The sequence below is a fragment of the Homo sapiens genome, chromosome 2 (assembly GCF_000001405.40).
Source record: "Homo sapiens chromosome 2, GRCh38.p14 Primary Assembly".
NCBI lineage: Eukaryota > Metazoa > Chordata > Mammalia > Primates > Hominidae > Homo > Homo sapiens.
Genome location: NC_000002.12, coordinates 226454129 through 226470165, shown reverse-complemented (window position 1 = coordinate 226470165; position 16037 = coordinate 226454129). Strand labels below are relative to the sequence as shown.

Here is a 16037-nt window from a genome sequence, read left to right as displayed (position 1 = left end):
AGTGAATGAATATATATATGTTCATTTAAGTGAATGAATATATATATGTTCATTTAAGTGAATGAATATATATATGTTCATTTAAGTGAATGAATATATATATGTTCATTTAAGTGAATGAATATATATATGTTCATTTAAGTGAATGAATATATATATGTTCATTTAAGTGAATGAATATATATATGTTCATTTAAGTGAATGAATATATATATGTTCATTTAAGTGAATGAATATATATATGTTCATTTAAGTGAATGAATATATATATGTTCATTTAAGTGAATGAATATATATATGTTCATTTAAGTGAATGAATATATATATGTTCATTTAAGTGAATGAATATATATATGTTCATTTAAGTGAATGAATATATATATGTTCATTTAAGTGAATGAATATATATATATATATTCATTTAAGTGAATGAATATATATATATATTCATTTAAGTGAATGAATATATATATATATATTCATTTAAGTGAATGAATATATATATATATTCATTTAAGTGAATGAATATATATATATATATTCATTTAAGTGAATGAATATATATATATATTCATTTAAGTGAATGAATATATATATATATTCATTTAAGTGAATGAATATATATATATATTCATTTAAGTGAATGAATATATATATATATATTCATTTAAGTGAATGAATATATATATATATATTCATTTAAGTGAATGAATATATATATATATATTCATTTAAGTGAATGAATATATATATGGCACTTGGGGCACTGCCTGGAACATGGTAAGTTTACCAGTCTGTTTCTTCACTTTTATTCTCTTACCACCAACATAAAAAGTTACTTCCTGAAACCACTGCATTGAACTCACAAAATGTTTCTCATGTCAGGCTCTGCTATATTTTCTGTCATGCCACTTTCTGTCATACCACATATACTGGTGAAAATTAAAGGGGCAAAGGTCAGTGGGTGTAAAAGCACTACATAGTCCCCAAATCTATTTTAACTCATCTTTACTTCTGATGACGAAGGCCATCTTTACTGTTTCTATCTACCTGGGACAGTAACTTTCTACAGCTTTTCTAATGGCTACAAATTTGATCTTTGTGTTTTAACTGCCAAGTCTCAATGATTATATTCACAGAAAATTAGAGTAAGGTGTATAAACACATTTCTGAACATTCCACAAATTCAAAGTATCCACTTTATATAAATATGGATGTCTGTTTGTATAAGTGGACTCATTGCATTTTCCTTTTGAGAATATTCCATAGAATTCTTGCAGCTTTCCCATTTGCTGCCTCTAACGTTCTTCAGCACTTTCTCTGGGAAGGCAAGTTAAATGATTTGAGCACAACTCAGAACTCATAAACTCTGAAACAATGTCATTATAATTGCCCACAAATTGCTCTGAATACAAAATATGTAGATAGCTTTATTCATTCAAGAAGCAGTGTCAACCCTTGAAATAATGATTGGATGGATGGGGAAGCCACACGGCGGGAGCAGGCAAACAACGGCTCAGCAGCTTGATTTGGCATGCACCTGTTTTTATAAACAAAGCTGTATTGGAATGCAAGTATACTCATTCATTTACATATTATATATGGTTGCTTTTGCTCTATGGTAGGTAGCAGAGTTAAGTAGTTGAGGCAGAGACCATATGGCCCACAAAACCTAAACTATTTACTATCTGGTCCATTATGAAATGTTTGAAGATACCTTATGCACAGTATCTAATAAATCTTCTTTTTGTCCTAGTTTTGCTTTCTTATATATATGGTTTTGGATTCATGACCTTAATACCTGTGTCATTTTTAGGAAATAGTTTAATTTTTGTGTGTGTCATGTGATGACAAAATGGAAAAGAAAAGTTAAATTTGGGGGATAAAATTTAGGAACCTGCAGTTATAAAGAGTAAGGACAGTGATACTAATATTGAGGGTAGGGGAGAGCCATCTCAGATCCCAAGACTTAGAGATAAATGGTGAAACTCTGAGAAATCATTAAACTAGCTTGCCCTGTTGAGACCCTCTGTAGTACTATGTAAGGAAGAACATTTTGTATTTTCTCAGTTAAAAATGATCTATTTTGTCTATTTTCTTTGCAAAACTGGCTCAGGTGAGAGGACACTTAAAAAAATTTTCCCCATGCAAAAGCACAATTATTGGTTTTGTATAATTTTGTATAATTTTTGCAGGCATGAGTCTTGATGCATGACAGCCCGAGCTTTTGTAACCCATTCTGGTCTACAGCAAACACAGTCTCTGTCTTATTGTTCACCTTTAGAGACCTGACTCATTTATTCATCCATTCATTCAAAAACCACTTACTGATGACCAGTCTATTGCAGCACTCTATTCTACATAATTGGTATTCAACAATAAAACAAACGAACAAATAAAGTAGACCATTCTGCCTTTAGGGAACTAATAACCTTGTAAATTACATAGCCTGTTAGAAGGAAACAGGGATTATGAAGAGAAATAAAGCACAGGAGGGGTAAGCACTGCTAGAAAAGGGATGGGAAGGTAAGCCTCATAGAGAAGAGGACATTTTGACAGAAACTTAAAGGAGATGAGGAAGCAATTAATTCCTTCCAATAAGTGCAAAGGCCCTGAGGTAAGGAAATGCCTGGCATGTTCTGTGAACGGCAAGGAGACAAACACGGCTGGGGCAGGATGATCGAAGGCGATAATTGTAGGCAATTAGTTGGTGACATAATGGGAAGCACGTCAGATCATTTAGGGAATTGCAGGTCAGTTCAAAGACTTTGGAATTTTGACTAGATAAGGTGGGAAGGCACTGAGACTTCTGAGCAAAGGAATGCCATAATCTGATGTATGTTTTTAGAGGATTACTCTGGCCAGTTAATAATAGACTAAAAGGGAAGTGATAATGTTGGGAAGCTGTCTCAATAATCCAGGAGAGAGACGATATGGTTTGGGCTTTGTGGTATCAGATTTGAGTCAACAGGATTGCTGATGGATTTAGATGGGAGATTTGAGAGATAAAAAACAGGTCAAGAATGATTTGAAAGTTTTTAACCTTAGCAGCTAGAAGTGTAAGGCTACTCCGAACAGAGGCGAGAAGCTGTAGAGCACATTTGTTGAGGAAGAAGAGTAATTCAATTTTGGTCTTACTGAGTTTTCAATGTTTGTTAGTGGAGATGTTGAGTATGTGGTTGACTATACCTGTGGGGAGTTTGTGAAGCAGCTGGGGCCACAACTATAAATACTGATGTCATCAGGATAAAGGGTACTTAAAGCCTCTAATGAAATCACCAAAGAAGTGAATAAAGAATGAAATAAAATGGAAACAAAGACTGAGAACTGGGGAATTCCAGTGTACAGTTGCTATGGAGACGAGAATGGAGACAGAGAAGGAAGGGTCACAGTGAAGTGGGAGGAATACTGGGAGAGCTAAGGGCAGGAAGTGCTGGCAGGGAAGAAAGAGTTGTGTCAAGTATGTTAGACAGGCCAAGCAAGTGCAACACTGAAGATCGCACCTTGGATAACCAGCAGGAGTGTCAGTGATGACCTTTTCAGGAACATTTTGATGGAGCAGTGGGAGTGAAAGTCTAATGAGTGGGTTTAAGAGAAAATGAGAGAGGACAAATTATAAAAGACAAACACAGATAATAACTCTTTGGAGGAAGTGTGCTATAAATAGTAGAAACAGGGCAGTAACTGGAAGGGGAAGATTTTTTTTAGGATGGGAGGAATAACAGCATGCTTTATGTAGTCAGAAGGATCTGGCAGAGTGTGAGCAGAATGAGGAAGCAGAAGAGAGTGGATAGGTGCTAGGACAACATTCCTGAGTAGGTAAGAGGGCATGAAATCTGGCATAGAAGTAGAAGAGGTTGACCTAGATAGAAGTACACACAATCCGGAGGAACAGGTGGGAAGGCAGAATGTAAGAGTGCATGTGCAGGTAGGTGGGTGGAAGTGAGGGTAGAAGTTCTGAACTGATAGTTGTTATTTCTCAATAACATAGGATGATTGCCTGGCAGCAGGAAGGGCCCATGAGGGCATGTCCATACATTTAAAGTGATACTAGACCTTCTTTAGTCATACATAGTTAGCTTTTTTCATATCAGTTGGTGACAATGGAAAGCAGGTCAGACCATGTAGGGCATTGCAGGTCACTGTAAGGACTGCATATAGGCCAGAAATGGGATGAAGTTTTGTCTTAACAAGGAAGGGTTGAATTTTTGCCAAATGAGTAAAATGAAAATAATATAAAGTTGAGTAATATTAAGGAGAAAGTGAGTTCAAGGCATATTTATGGGTAGGGTAAGGGTTGTTAGAGTTAGGGTACTATAATCAAATTGAGGTCAAAGTGTGGAAGTCTTGTAATTGAGATTATAGAGGTGTTGCATTTTTTGGTAATAACAAGGTCAAACTTGGGTACCATAATCACATAGAAGGCTTATTTAACAGAGATTGCTGGGCCATATCCCAGATTTCCTGGTTCAGCAGGGCTGAGGTGAGGATGAGAGTTTTAATTTTTAGTAATTTCTTCAGTGATAGCAAAATGGAACTTTGAGAACCACTGGTCTGTTGTATGAGCATGGTGAGGAAATGGCTGAGATAGGTTGAAGAACTTGGTCATTAGGATAAATGGGTTCAAGGATCTAAGAAACCAGAATATTGGAAGAATCATCTATTTGGACATAGGAAACACCAAAGAAGGAATAATTGTTGGCCCAGGAGTTAGAGCCATTGAGAAATGAGAGATGGCTGCAACAGGGAGGGGAGACAGGTGGGATAGTCTGACAACCTGAGATTCAAATTTGGAAGCTTTAATGAAGGAAGAAGGAGCTCCTGGTCTCCGTGGAAGATTATACAGGTTATATCCTGCATACCCTAGAAAGTGCTGTCCACATCATGGTTTCTGGGAAAGAGAATGGCCTGTAGGCTTCACTGAGACATAAGGGACAAACTTCTTCAATCCCAAGCCCACAGATATGTAGGCTGTACACATGTTTTAATTATTTCAGCCATAAAAGAAGAATGCTTTGGCCTGCTTAAAATTGTGTGGCTTTACTCTCCCTTGAAGGAACCAGTGCAGGAAAGAAAATGCAGAGAATCACCACACGTGCACACACTTGCGTCCAAATGGAAATTAGTTCTTCTAACTTTTAAATTCATTAAAGTAGGGTCCTCAAGTGTCAAAGAATATCACAAAATCCTTCCAGTGAAGAAACACAAGCAAGTGCCACAGTTTTTGCCATGTGCTCTTTAATCTAAAAAGTCCAGTGAAGAATCCTGTGTGGCAGGTGGGTTTTCTACCTTTTAGAAACTTGAATAACAGCAGTGCATAGGTATTGGGTCTGCTCACCTGTCCCCAGTGCTTGCTTTCTTTTTTCTTTAAATCCTTCCTTTCCTCTTTTTGTCCCTCCTAATTGTATATCTTTTAGCCCACACTATCATTCGTTGAAATGAATTGATAAATGTCCAGGTTTTACTCATTGGCAGTGTAGCTCTGATGGTGGGAAAGAGAAGTGAGGTCAGGTGTATCTTGTGTGGGTTCAGCAGCCTGAAGTGAGGTGGCTTCTGGCTAGGAGTGTGCTCTCCTCTGCTGGAGGGCATGGTTCTCTGAAGATTCTAAGTTGTGTTAGATGATAGCCCCGAGTTGGTAAGTAAAACCGGACTTTCATTTTCATAATTTAAAACTCTTGCCTTTACTTTCAGGCTTGTTTTATAACAACAACAACAACAAACACACAGAAACGATCTTAAGAAGGTGATTTAAATTGGCAGGGCTGGGACTATTGATAAAACCTGAGAATACAGGTTTTGAACATTGATTTTCAAATGACCATGCAAATAAATATTAATGCATAATATTCTTAGATGAACTGAAATTAGGTAAATTATCTGAGCATGAAGAAAACATGGGGTTTAACTAAGCTTGGAGATGGTTTTTGGTCTAGAAAATCACTTTGGGTTTTTTTCTCTGCTTTTCCTGGAATTGCATTTGAGAGTTTTTTGGGAAAGAAAAGTTTCTATTTTTTCTCTGTAGTATCTGATACATCTTAATTATGTCTGGAGCTTGTTTTTATGAATATGGAAAATATGCTCAATCTTCAATAGCAATGTGTAAAAACTAAGAAAATTACATGAAGGGTGGTATAAAGAGTAATTTACTTTTTCGGGATTCATCTTTAAAAATACTCAGGCATTACTTACATATAATACAATGCATGGATCTTCAGTGTTCAGGTCGAGGAAGTTTGACATTTGTATTCATGTAAATAACCACTACCAAAACCAAGATTCCATTAGTTCAGAAAGGTCAGTTGTGCTCCTTTCTTGTCCATTCCCACCTTTCTTGTCCAAATGGCAACTACTTCCTGACTAGATAGTAATTTTATCTGTTCTTGGAAGTCAAATAAAGGGGACCATAGGTATGTATTAGGTTGGCACAAAAGTTATCTATGCATAATTATTTTGAAATTTTTCCATGCTGTTGCTTGTATTAATAATTCATTTCTTTTTATTACTGAATAATATTCCATTGTATAAAAATATTGCAGCTTGTTTATCCATTCACCTGTTGATGACATTTTGGTTATTTTCAAATTTGAACTATTATAAATTAAACAGCTATGAATATTCATGTACAAATCTTTGCATACACATAGGCCTTAATTTCTCCTGGGTAAATACCTAGGAATCTAATGGCTGAATCATGTTTTAATTGAATATTTAACCTTTCAAGGAACTGCCAAATTGTTGTCCAAAGTCAATGTACCATTATTACATCCCGACCAGCAGTGTAGGAGTGTCCCAGTTCCTCCACATCCTTGTCAACACTTGGTATGGTCAGTTTTTAAATTTTAGTCATTCCAATAAGTGAGCGGTGGTAGCTTATTATGGTTTTAACTTTGGATTTCCTTAAAGAATAATGATGTTGAACATGTTTTCACATACTTATTTGTGAAATATTTGTTCAAATCTTCTACCTGTTTTTATAATTGGGTTGCTCATTTTCTTACTGAATTTTGAGAGTTCTCTTGATACAAGTCCTTTTTCAGATATATGATTTGCAAGTTTATTTTCCTAGTATGTAATCTGCCTTTTTATTTTCTTCAAGAATGTTTTCTGAAGTGCAGAAGTTTGGTGTTGAATTCCAATTTGTCAATTTGTGCTTTTACACATTTTGCTTTTGCTTTTGTGTCTAAAACATCTTTGCTGAATCCAAGGTCATATGTATGAGGCATATACATAAAACTTTAACTTTGTTTTCCCACAGCTCTATAACGTTCTGTTCATTTTTTTTTAACTTCTTTTTTTAATGTGCTTTATTTTGGTTACTTTCTATTGCTCTGACTTCAAGTTCACTAATCTTTTTGTCTACAATTGCTTATTTGCTGTTAATTTCATTTAGTGTATTTTAAACTCATACATTGTAGTCTCTTTTCTAATAGTTTGATTTGGAGTCTTCTTTTATATCTTTTATGCCTCTACTTTTCAATACATGAAACACGTTTATAATAAATGTCTTAATGTCTTTTTCTACTAATTCTAATATCTGTGTCAGCTCTTTGTTGGTTGTGAATGCTTATTTATTTCCTTATGATGGGTCATACTTTTATCCTTCTTTGAATGTCTGGTAATTATTAATCAGATATCAGACATTGTGATTTCACTTTGTGGGTGCTGGTTACTTTTGTATTCCTATGAATATTCTAGAGCTTTCTTCTGGGATGCAGTTAAGTTACTTAGAAAGAATTTGGTACTTTTTGGTCTTGTTTTTAAGATTACTTTAGGGGAAACTGGAGCAGTGCTCAGTCAAGGCCTAATGATTCCCCATTACTGAGGCAAGAGCTTTCACACTCTCTCTCCAATGCCCCATAAATCATGAGGTTTTCCAATGTGGTGCGAAAGGGCTCTATTGCCAGCCCTCTGTGAATGTGAATAATTGTTCTCTCTCATCCTTTTGGGTGATTCTGTTTCCAGCTTGGGTAGTTCCCCTATAAACATGTGCTTATCAGTAGTCAGCTGCATATTTGTGGGAGACCTTTGAGGACTCCCACTTCCCCCGGGATCTTTCTCTGGGCAAGTCTCTTCTTTTCCAGTCCTCTGTCCAGAGGACTTATAGTTTGTGCTCGTCTCCCTGAATTCTCAGCTCTTTCTCTGTAACTCAGAAAGCCTACTGGCCTCCACCAGGACCCGCTTGTGTTTCTCCTCCCTATGCTGCAACCCGATGCAGTAAGCTTGGGGTAATTTTGGAACTCAACTCATGTGTTTCCTGTCTTTCAGAGATCGTGAAACTTGAATGCATTTTTACAGTTTTTTAAATCATTGCTTTACATATTTTGTTAAAAATGTTATCTTACATGGGAGGGTAAACCTAGTCTTTATTATTTCTTCTTGGTCTGAAGCAAGAGTTATTGTTTACTCTCATCAGTTTTTGCCTTGTGTATTTTGAAGCACTGTGTTGGGTGCTTGTCCATTTAGGATTACTATGTCTACTTGATTAATTGATCATTTTATTGTTATTAAATAACACTTTAACCTCCATAATACTGCTTGCTTTAAATCCACTTTCTCTTATGTTTATATAGCATACCAGATTTCTTATGCTTAGTGTTTGTTCATTATAACTTTTTTTATCTTTTAATTTTATCTTGCCTTACTTTTATAGTTAAAGTCTGTTTTCTGAAGAGCATGCAGTGGGTCTTGCTTCTATCACCTTTGTCTGATAGTCTTTTTCTTTTCTTTTTTTTTTTTTTGAAATGGAGTCTTGCTCTGTTGCCCAGGCTGGAGTGCAGTGGCGCCATCTTGGCTCACTGCAAGCTCCACCTCCCGGGTTCACGCCATTCTCCTGCCTCAGCCTCCCGAGCAGCTGGGACTACAGGTGCCCGCCACCATGCCCGGTTAATTTTTTGTATTTTTAGTAGAGTCGGGGTTTCACCATGTTAGCCTGGATGGTCTGGATCTCCTGACCTCGTGATCTGCCTGCCTTGGCCTCCCAAAGTGCTGGGATTACAGACGTGAGTCACTGCACCTGGCCAAGTCTTTTTCTTTTAACTAGATAGAGTGTTTAGTCCTGTTCCGTTTAATATATTTATTGATATGGTTGTGTTTAATCTACCATCTTGGTCTTTAAATTTTATTTGTACTTATTCATCTCATTTGTCTTTATCCCTCTGTTCTCCTTTCTTGTATTATTTAAAATAGATCATATATTTTATGTGTAACTTTTTGAGTTGTTTTCTTATAGTTATTCAAGTTGTTACAATATGTTTCTGATAGGGTTTGGCTGTGTCCTTACTCAAATCTCCTCTTGAATTCCCATGTGTTGAGGGAGGGACCCGGTGGGAGGTAATTGAATCATTGGGCAGCTCTTTCCCATGATGTTCTCATGATAGTGAATAAGTCTCATGAGATCTGATGGTTTTAAAAACAGAAGTTTCCCTACACAAGCTCTATTCTCTTGTTTGCCACCATGTGAGACGTGCTTTTCACCTTCCACCATGATTGAAAGGCCTCCTCAGCCATGTGGTACTGTAAGTCCATTAAACCCTTTTTTCTGTATAAATTACCCAGTCTTGATTATGTCTTTATCAGTGGAGTGAAAACAGATTAATACAGGATCTTTATGTTTTCACAGTTTACTTGCAAATAAAATGGACACTATAACAACTTTAACAAAGAATTATTTAAATTTCCTTCTCCTATCATTTTTGTTTTATATTTTTCTTCGGTATATATATATAATATACCTCTAATACACAGATATTTTCTGTGACTAAAAGAATCAATAGTATTTTATTTATTTATTTTTATGCCTGGCTAATTTTTTTTTCTTTTTTAATTTTTGTAGAGACGAGACCTTGCCATGTTTCTCAGGCTGTCTCCAAGTCCTGGGCTCAGGCAATCCTCCTGGCTTGCCCTCTCAAAGTGCTGGCATTACAGGAGGTCCGTTTTTTAAGTTTTTATCTTTTTTTTTTTTTTGTACTTTAAGTTCTGGGATACATGTGCAGAATGTGCAGGTTTGTTACATAGGTATACATGTGCCATGGTGGTTTGCTGCACCTATCAACCCGTCATCTACATTTGGTATTTCTCCTAATGCTATCCCACCCCTTACCCCCACCCCCCAACAGGCCCCAGTGTGTGATGTTCCCCTCCCTGTGTCCATGTGTTCTCATTGTTCAACTCCCACTTATGAGTGAGAACATGTGGTATTTTGTTTTCTGTTCCTGTGTTAGTGTACTGAGAATGATGGTTTCTAGCTTCATCCATGTCCCTGCAAAGGACATGAATTTTTTATGTCTGCATAGTATTCCATGGTGTATATGTGCCACATTTTCTTTATCCAGTCTATCATTGATGGGCATTTGGCTTGGTTCCAAGTCTTTGCTATTATAAATAGTGCTACAATAAGCATACATGGGCATAGTGTCTTTATAGTAGAATGATTTATAATCCTTTGGGTATATAGCCAGTAATGGGATTGCTGGGTCAAATGGTATTTCTTGTTCCAGATCCTTGAGGAATTGCCACACTGTCTTCCACAATGATTGAACTAATTTACACTCCCACCAACAGTGTAAAAGCATTCCTATTTCTCCACATCCTTGCCAGCATCTGTTGTTTCCTGACTTTTTAATGATTGCCATTGTAACTGATGTGAGATGATATCTCATTGCAGTTTTGATTTGCATTTCTCTAATGAGCAGTAATGATAAACTTTTTTTCATATGTTTGTTGGCCACATAAATGTCTTCTTTTGAGAGGTGTTCGTTCATATCCTTCATCCACTTTTTGCTGGGTTTTTTGTTTTTATCTTGTAAATTTGTTTAAGTTTCTTGTAGATTCTGGATATTAACCCTTTGTCAGATGGATAGATTGCAAAATTTTTCTTCCATTCTGCAGGTTGCCTGTTCACTCTGATGATAGTTTCTTTTGCTGTGCAGAAGCTCTTTAGTTTAATTAGATCCCATTTGCCAATTTTGGCTTTTGTTGCAATTGCTTTTGGTGTTTTAGTCATGAAGTCTTTGCCAATACCTATGTCCTGAATGGTATTGACTAAGTTTTCTTCTAGGGTTTTTATGGTTTTAGGTCTTACATTTAAGTCTTTTTTTGTTGTTTGTTTTCTTTTTGAGACAGAGTCTCACTCTATCACCCAGGCTGCAGTGCAGTGGTGCAATCTTGGCTCACTGCAACCTCCACCTCTTGGGTTCAAGCTATTCTCCTGCCTCAGCCTCCCAAGTAGCTGGGACTACAGGTGTGTACCTCCAAGTCTGGCTAATTTTTGTATTTTTAGTAGAGACAGGGTTTCACCATGTTGGCCAGGCTGGTCATGAACTCCTGACCTCAGGTGATCCACCCACCTTGGCCTCCCAAAGTGCTGGGATTACAGGCATGAACCACCATGCCTGGCCATGTTTAAATCTTTAATCCATCTTGAGTTAATTTTTTTATAAGGTGTAAAGAAGGGGTCCAGTTTAAGTTTTCTGCATATAGCCAGTAAGGTGTAAAGAAGGGGTCCAGCTATAAGTTTTCTAGCCAGTTTTCCCAACACCATTTATTAACTAGGGAATCCTTTCTCCGTTGCTTGTTTCTGTCAGGTTTGTCAAAGATCAGATGGTTGTAGATGTGTGGTGTTATTTCTGAGGTCTTTGTTCTGTTCCATTGGTCTATATATCTGTTTTGGTACCAGTACCATGCCGTCTGGTTACTATAGCTTTGTAGTATACTTTGAAGTCAGGTAGTGTGATGCCTCCAGCTTTGTTCTTTTTGCTTAGAATTGTCTTGGCTATGTGGCCCTTTTTTGGTTCCATATGAAATTTAAAGTAGTTTTTCTAATTATGTGAAGAAAGTAAATGGTAGATTGATGGGGATAGCGTGGAATCTATAAATTACTTTGGGCAGTAGAGCCATTTTTACAATATTGATTCTTCCTATCCATCAGCATGGAATGTTTTTCCATTTGTTTGTGTCCTCTCTCATTTCCTTGAGCAGTGGTTTATGGTTCTCCTTGAAGAGGTCCTTCACATCCCTTGTAAGTTGTATTCCTAGGTATTTTATTCTCTTTATAGCAATTGTGAATGGGAGTTCACTAGTGATTTGGCTCTCTGTCTATTATTGATGTATAGGAATGCTTGTGATTTTTGCACAGTGATTTTGTATCCTGAGACTTTGCTGAAGTTGCTTATCAGCTTAAAGAGTTTTTGGGCTGAGACGATGGGGTTTTCCAAATATACAATCATGTCAATTGCAAACAGAGACAATTTGACTTCCTCTCTTCCTATTTGAATACCCTTTATTTCTTTCTCTTGCCTGATTGCTCTGGCCAGAATTTCCAATACTATGTTGAATAGGAATGGTGAGAGAGGGCATCTTTGTCTTGTGCCAGTTTTCAAAGGGAATACTTCCAGTTTTTGCCCATTCAGTGTGATATTGGCTGTGGGCTTGTCATAAATAGCTCTTATTATTTTGAGATACATTCCATCAAAACCTAGTTTATTAAGAGTTTTTAGCATGAGGGTGTTGAATTTTGTCAAAGGCCTTTTCGGCATCTATTGAGATGATCATGTGGTTTTTGTCATTGGTTGTTTATTCAATGGATTATATTTATTGATTTGCATATGTTGAACCAGCCTTGCATCCCAGGGATGAGGCTGACTTGATCATGGTGGATGAACTTTTTGAGGTGCTGCTGGATTCGGTTTGCCAGTATTTTATTGAGGACTTTCACACCAATGTTCATCAGGGATATTGGCCTGAAATTTTCTTTTTTTGTTGTGTCTCTGCCAGGTTTTGGTAACAGGATGATGCTGGCATCATAAAATGAGTTAGGAAGGAGTCCATCTTTTTCTATTGTTTGGAATAATTACAGAAGGAATGGTACTAGCTCCTCTTTGTACCTCTGGTAGAATTCAGCTGTGAATCCATCTGATCCTGGGCTTTTTTTAAATCACTTTTTATTGTGTCTATTTGATTCTTCTCTCTTTTCTTCTTTATTAATCTGGCTAGTGGTTTATCTATTTTGTTAATTTTTTCAAAAATCCAGCTCCTGGATTCATTGATTTTTTTTTTAACGATTTTTCTTGTCTCTGTCTCCTACAGTTCTGCTCTGATCTTAGTTATTTCTTGTCTTCTGCCAGCTTCTGAATTTGTTTGCTCTTGCTTCTCTCGTTCTTTTCATTGTGATGTCAGGGTGTTAATTTTATATCTTTCCTGCTTTCTTTTGTGGGCATTTAGTGCTATAAGTTTCCCTCTAAACACTGCTTTAGCTGTGTCCCAGAGATTCTGGTATGTTGTGTCTTTGTTCTCATTGGTTTCAAATAATTTATTTATTTCTGCCTTATTTTGTTATTTACCCAGTAGTCATTCAGGAGCAGGTTGTTCAGTTTCCATGCAGTTGTGCGGTTTTGAGTGAGTTTCTTAATCCTGAGTTCTAATTTGACTGCACTCTAGTCTGAGAGAGTGTTTGTTATGATTTCCATTCTTGTGTATTTTCTGAGGAGTTTTTTCCTTCCCATTATGTGGTCAATTTCAGAATAAGTGCCATGGGGTGTCGAGAAGAATGCATATTTTGTTGATTTGGGGTGAAGAGTTCTGTAGATGTCTATAAAGTCTGGTCCAGAGCTGAGCTCAAGTCCTGAATATCCTTGTTAATTTTCTGTCTCATTGATCTGTCTAATATTGACAGTGGGGTGTTAAATTATCCCACTATGATTGTGTGGGAGTCTAAGTCTCTTTGTAGGTCTCTAAGAACTTGCTTTATGAATCTGGGTGCTCCTGTATTGGGTGCATATTTACTTAAGATAGTTAGCTCTTCTTGTTGCATTGATCCCTTTACCATTACGTAATGCCCTTCTTTGTCTCTTTTGATCTTTGTTGATTTAAAAATCTGTTTTATCTGAGACTAGGATTGCAACCCCAGCTTTTTTTTTGTTTTCCATTTTCTTGGTAAATATTTCACCATCCCTTTATTTTGAGCCTATGTGTGTCTTTGCAAATGAGATGGGTCTCTTGAATACAGCACACTGATGGGTCTTGACTCTATCTAATTTGCCTGTCTGTGTCTTTTTATTGGGACATTTAGCCCATTTATATTTAAGGTTAATATTGTTATGTGTGAACTTGATCCTGTCATTATGATGTTAGCTGGTTATTTTGCACATTAGTTGATGCAGTTTCTTCATAGTGTCCATGGTCTTTATATTTTGGTATGTTTTTGAAGTGGCTGGTACTGGTTTTCCTTTCCATAATTTGTGCTTCATTCAGGAGCTTTTGTAAGGCAGGCCTGGTGGTGACAAAATCCCTCAGCATTTGTTTGTCTGTAAAGGATTTTATTTCTCCTTTGTTTATGAAGCTTAGTTTGGCTGGATATGAAATTCTGGGTTGAAAATTCTTTTCTTTAAGAATGTAGAATATTTGCCCCCACTCTCAACTGGCTTGTAGGGTTTCTGCAGAGAGATCTGCTGTTAGTCTGATGGGCTTCCCTTTGTGGGTAACCCGACCTTTCTCTCTGGCTGCCCTGAACATTTTTTTCTTCATTTCAACCTTGGTGAATCTGAGATTATGTGTCTTGGGATTGCTCTTCTCGAGGTGTATCTTAGTGGTGTTCTCTGTATTTCCTGAATTTGAATGTTGGCCTGCCTTGCTAGGTTGGGGAAGTTCTCCTGGATAATATCCTGAAGGGTGTTTTCCAACTTGGTTCCATTATCAACTCCCTGTCACTTTCAGGTACACCAATCTAATGTAGATTTGGTCTTTTCACATAGTCCCATATGTCTTCAAAGCTTTGTTCATTCCTTTTCAGTCTTTTTTCTTTAATCTTGTCTTCACACATTATTTCATTAAATTGATCTTCAAACTCTGATACCCTTTCTTCCACTTGATCAATTCAGCTATTGATACTTGTATATGCTTCATGAAGTTCTCATGCTATGTTTTTCAGTTCCATCAGGTCATTTATGTTCTTCTCCAAACTGATTATTTTAGTTAGCAGTTCCTGTTACTTTTTATCAAGGTTCTTATCTTGTTTGCATTGGGTTAGAACATGTTCCTTTAGCTCGGAGGAGTTTGTTATTATCCACCGTCTGAAGCCTACTTCTGCAAATTCATCAAACTCATTCTCCATCCAGTTTTGTTCCCTTGCTGGTGAGGAGTTGTGATCCTTTGGAGGAGAAGAGGCATTCTGGTTTTGGGAGTTTTCAGCCTTTTTGCACTGGCTTTTTCCTCATTTTCATTGATTTATCTACCTTTGATCTTTGATGCTGATGACCTTTGGATGTGGTTTTTGCGTGGCTTCCTTTTTGCCGATGTTGATGTTATTGCTTTCTGTTTGTTAGTTTTCCTTCTAATAGTCATGCTCCTCTTCTGCAGGTCTGCTGGAGTTTGCTGGAGGTCCACTCCAGATCCTGTTTGCTTGGGTATCACCAGTGGAGGCTGCAGAACAGCAAAGATTGCTGCCTGCTCCTTCCTTTGGAAGCTTTGTCCCAGAGGGGCACCCACCAGATGCCAGCCAGAGCTCTCCTGTATGAGGTATCTCCCTGTCAGGAGGCATGGGGGTCAGTAACCCACTTGAGGAGGCAGTCTGTCCCTTAGCAGAGCTGGAATGCTGTGCATGGAGATCTGCTGGTCTCTTCAGAGCTGGCAGGCAGGAACGTTTAAGTCTGCTGAAGCTGCATCCACAGCTGCCCCTTCCCCCAGGTGCTCTGTGCCAGGGAGATGGGACTTTTATCTGTAAGCCCCTGACTGGGGCTTCTGCCTTTCTTTTAGAGATGCCTTGCCCAGAGAGGAGGAATCTAGAGAGGCAGTCTGGCTACAGTGGCTTTGCTGCACTGTGGTGGGTTCCACCCAGTTCGAACAACCCAGTGGCTTTGTTTACACTGTGAGGGGAAAAATCACCTACTCAAGCCTTAATGGCAGATGCCCCTCCTCGCACCAAGCTCAAGTGTCCCAGGTTGACTACAGACTGCTGTGCTGGCAGCGAGAATTTCAAGCCAGTGGATCTTAGCTTGCTGGGCTCCATGGGGGCAGGATCTGCTGAGCAAGACTACCTGGCTCCC

At 37.5% G+C, this 16037-nt stretch overlaps 1 long non-coding RNA gene across 1 annotated transcript; it reads left to right on the top strand.

Moving 5' to 3' along the window:
* The first annotated feature begins 3201 nt into the window (after positions 1 to 3201).
* LOC105373915 (uncharacterized) lies at positions 3202 to 15384 on the top strand. The gene is made up of 3 exons (XR_923963.2): positions 3202 to 4846; positions 5157 to 5276; positions 15352 to 15384. It is a non-coding gene; the product is annotated as an uncharacterized LOC105373915 (long non-coding RNA).
* The last annotated feature ends 653 nt before the right edge of the window (positions 15385 to 16037 follow it).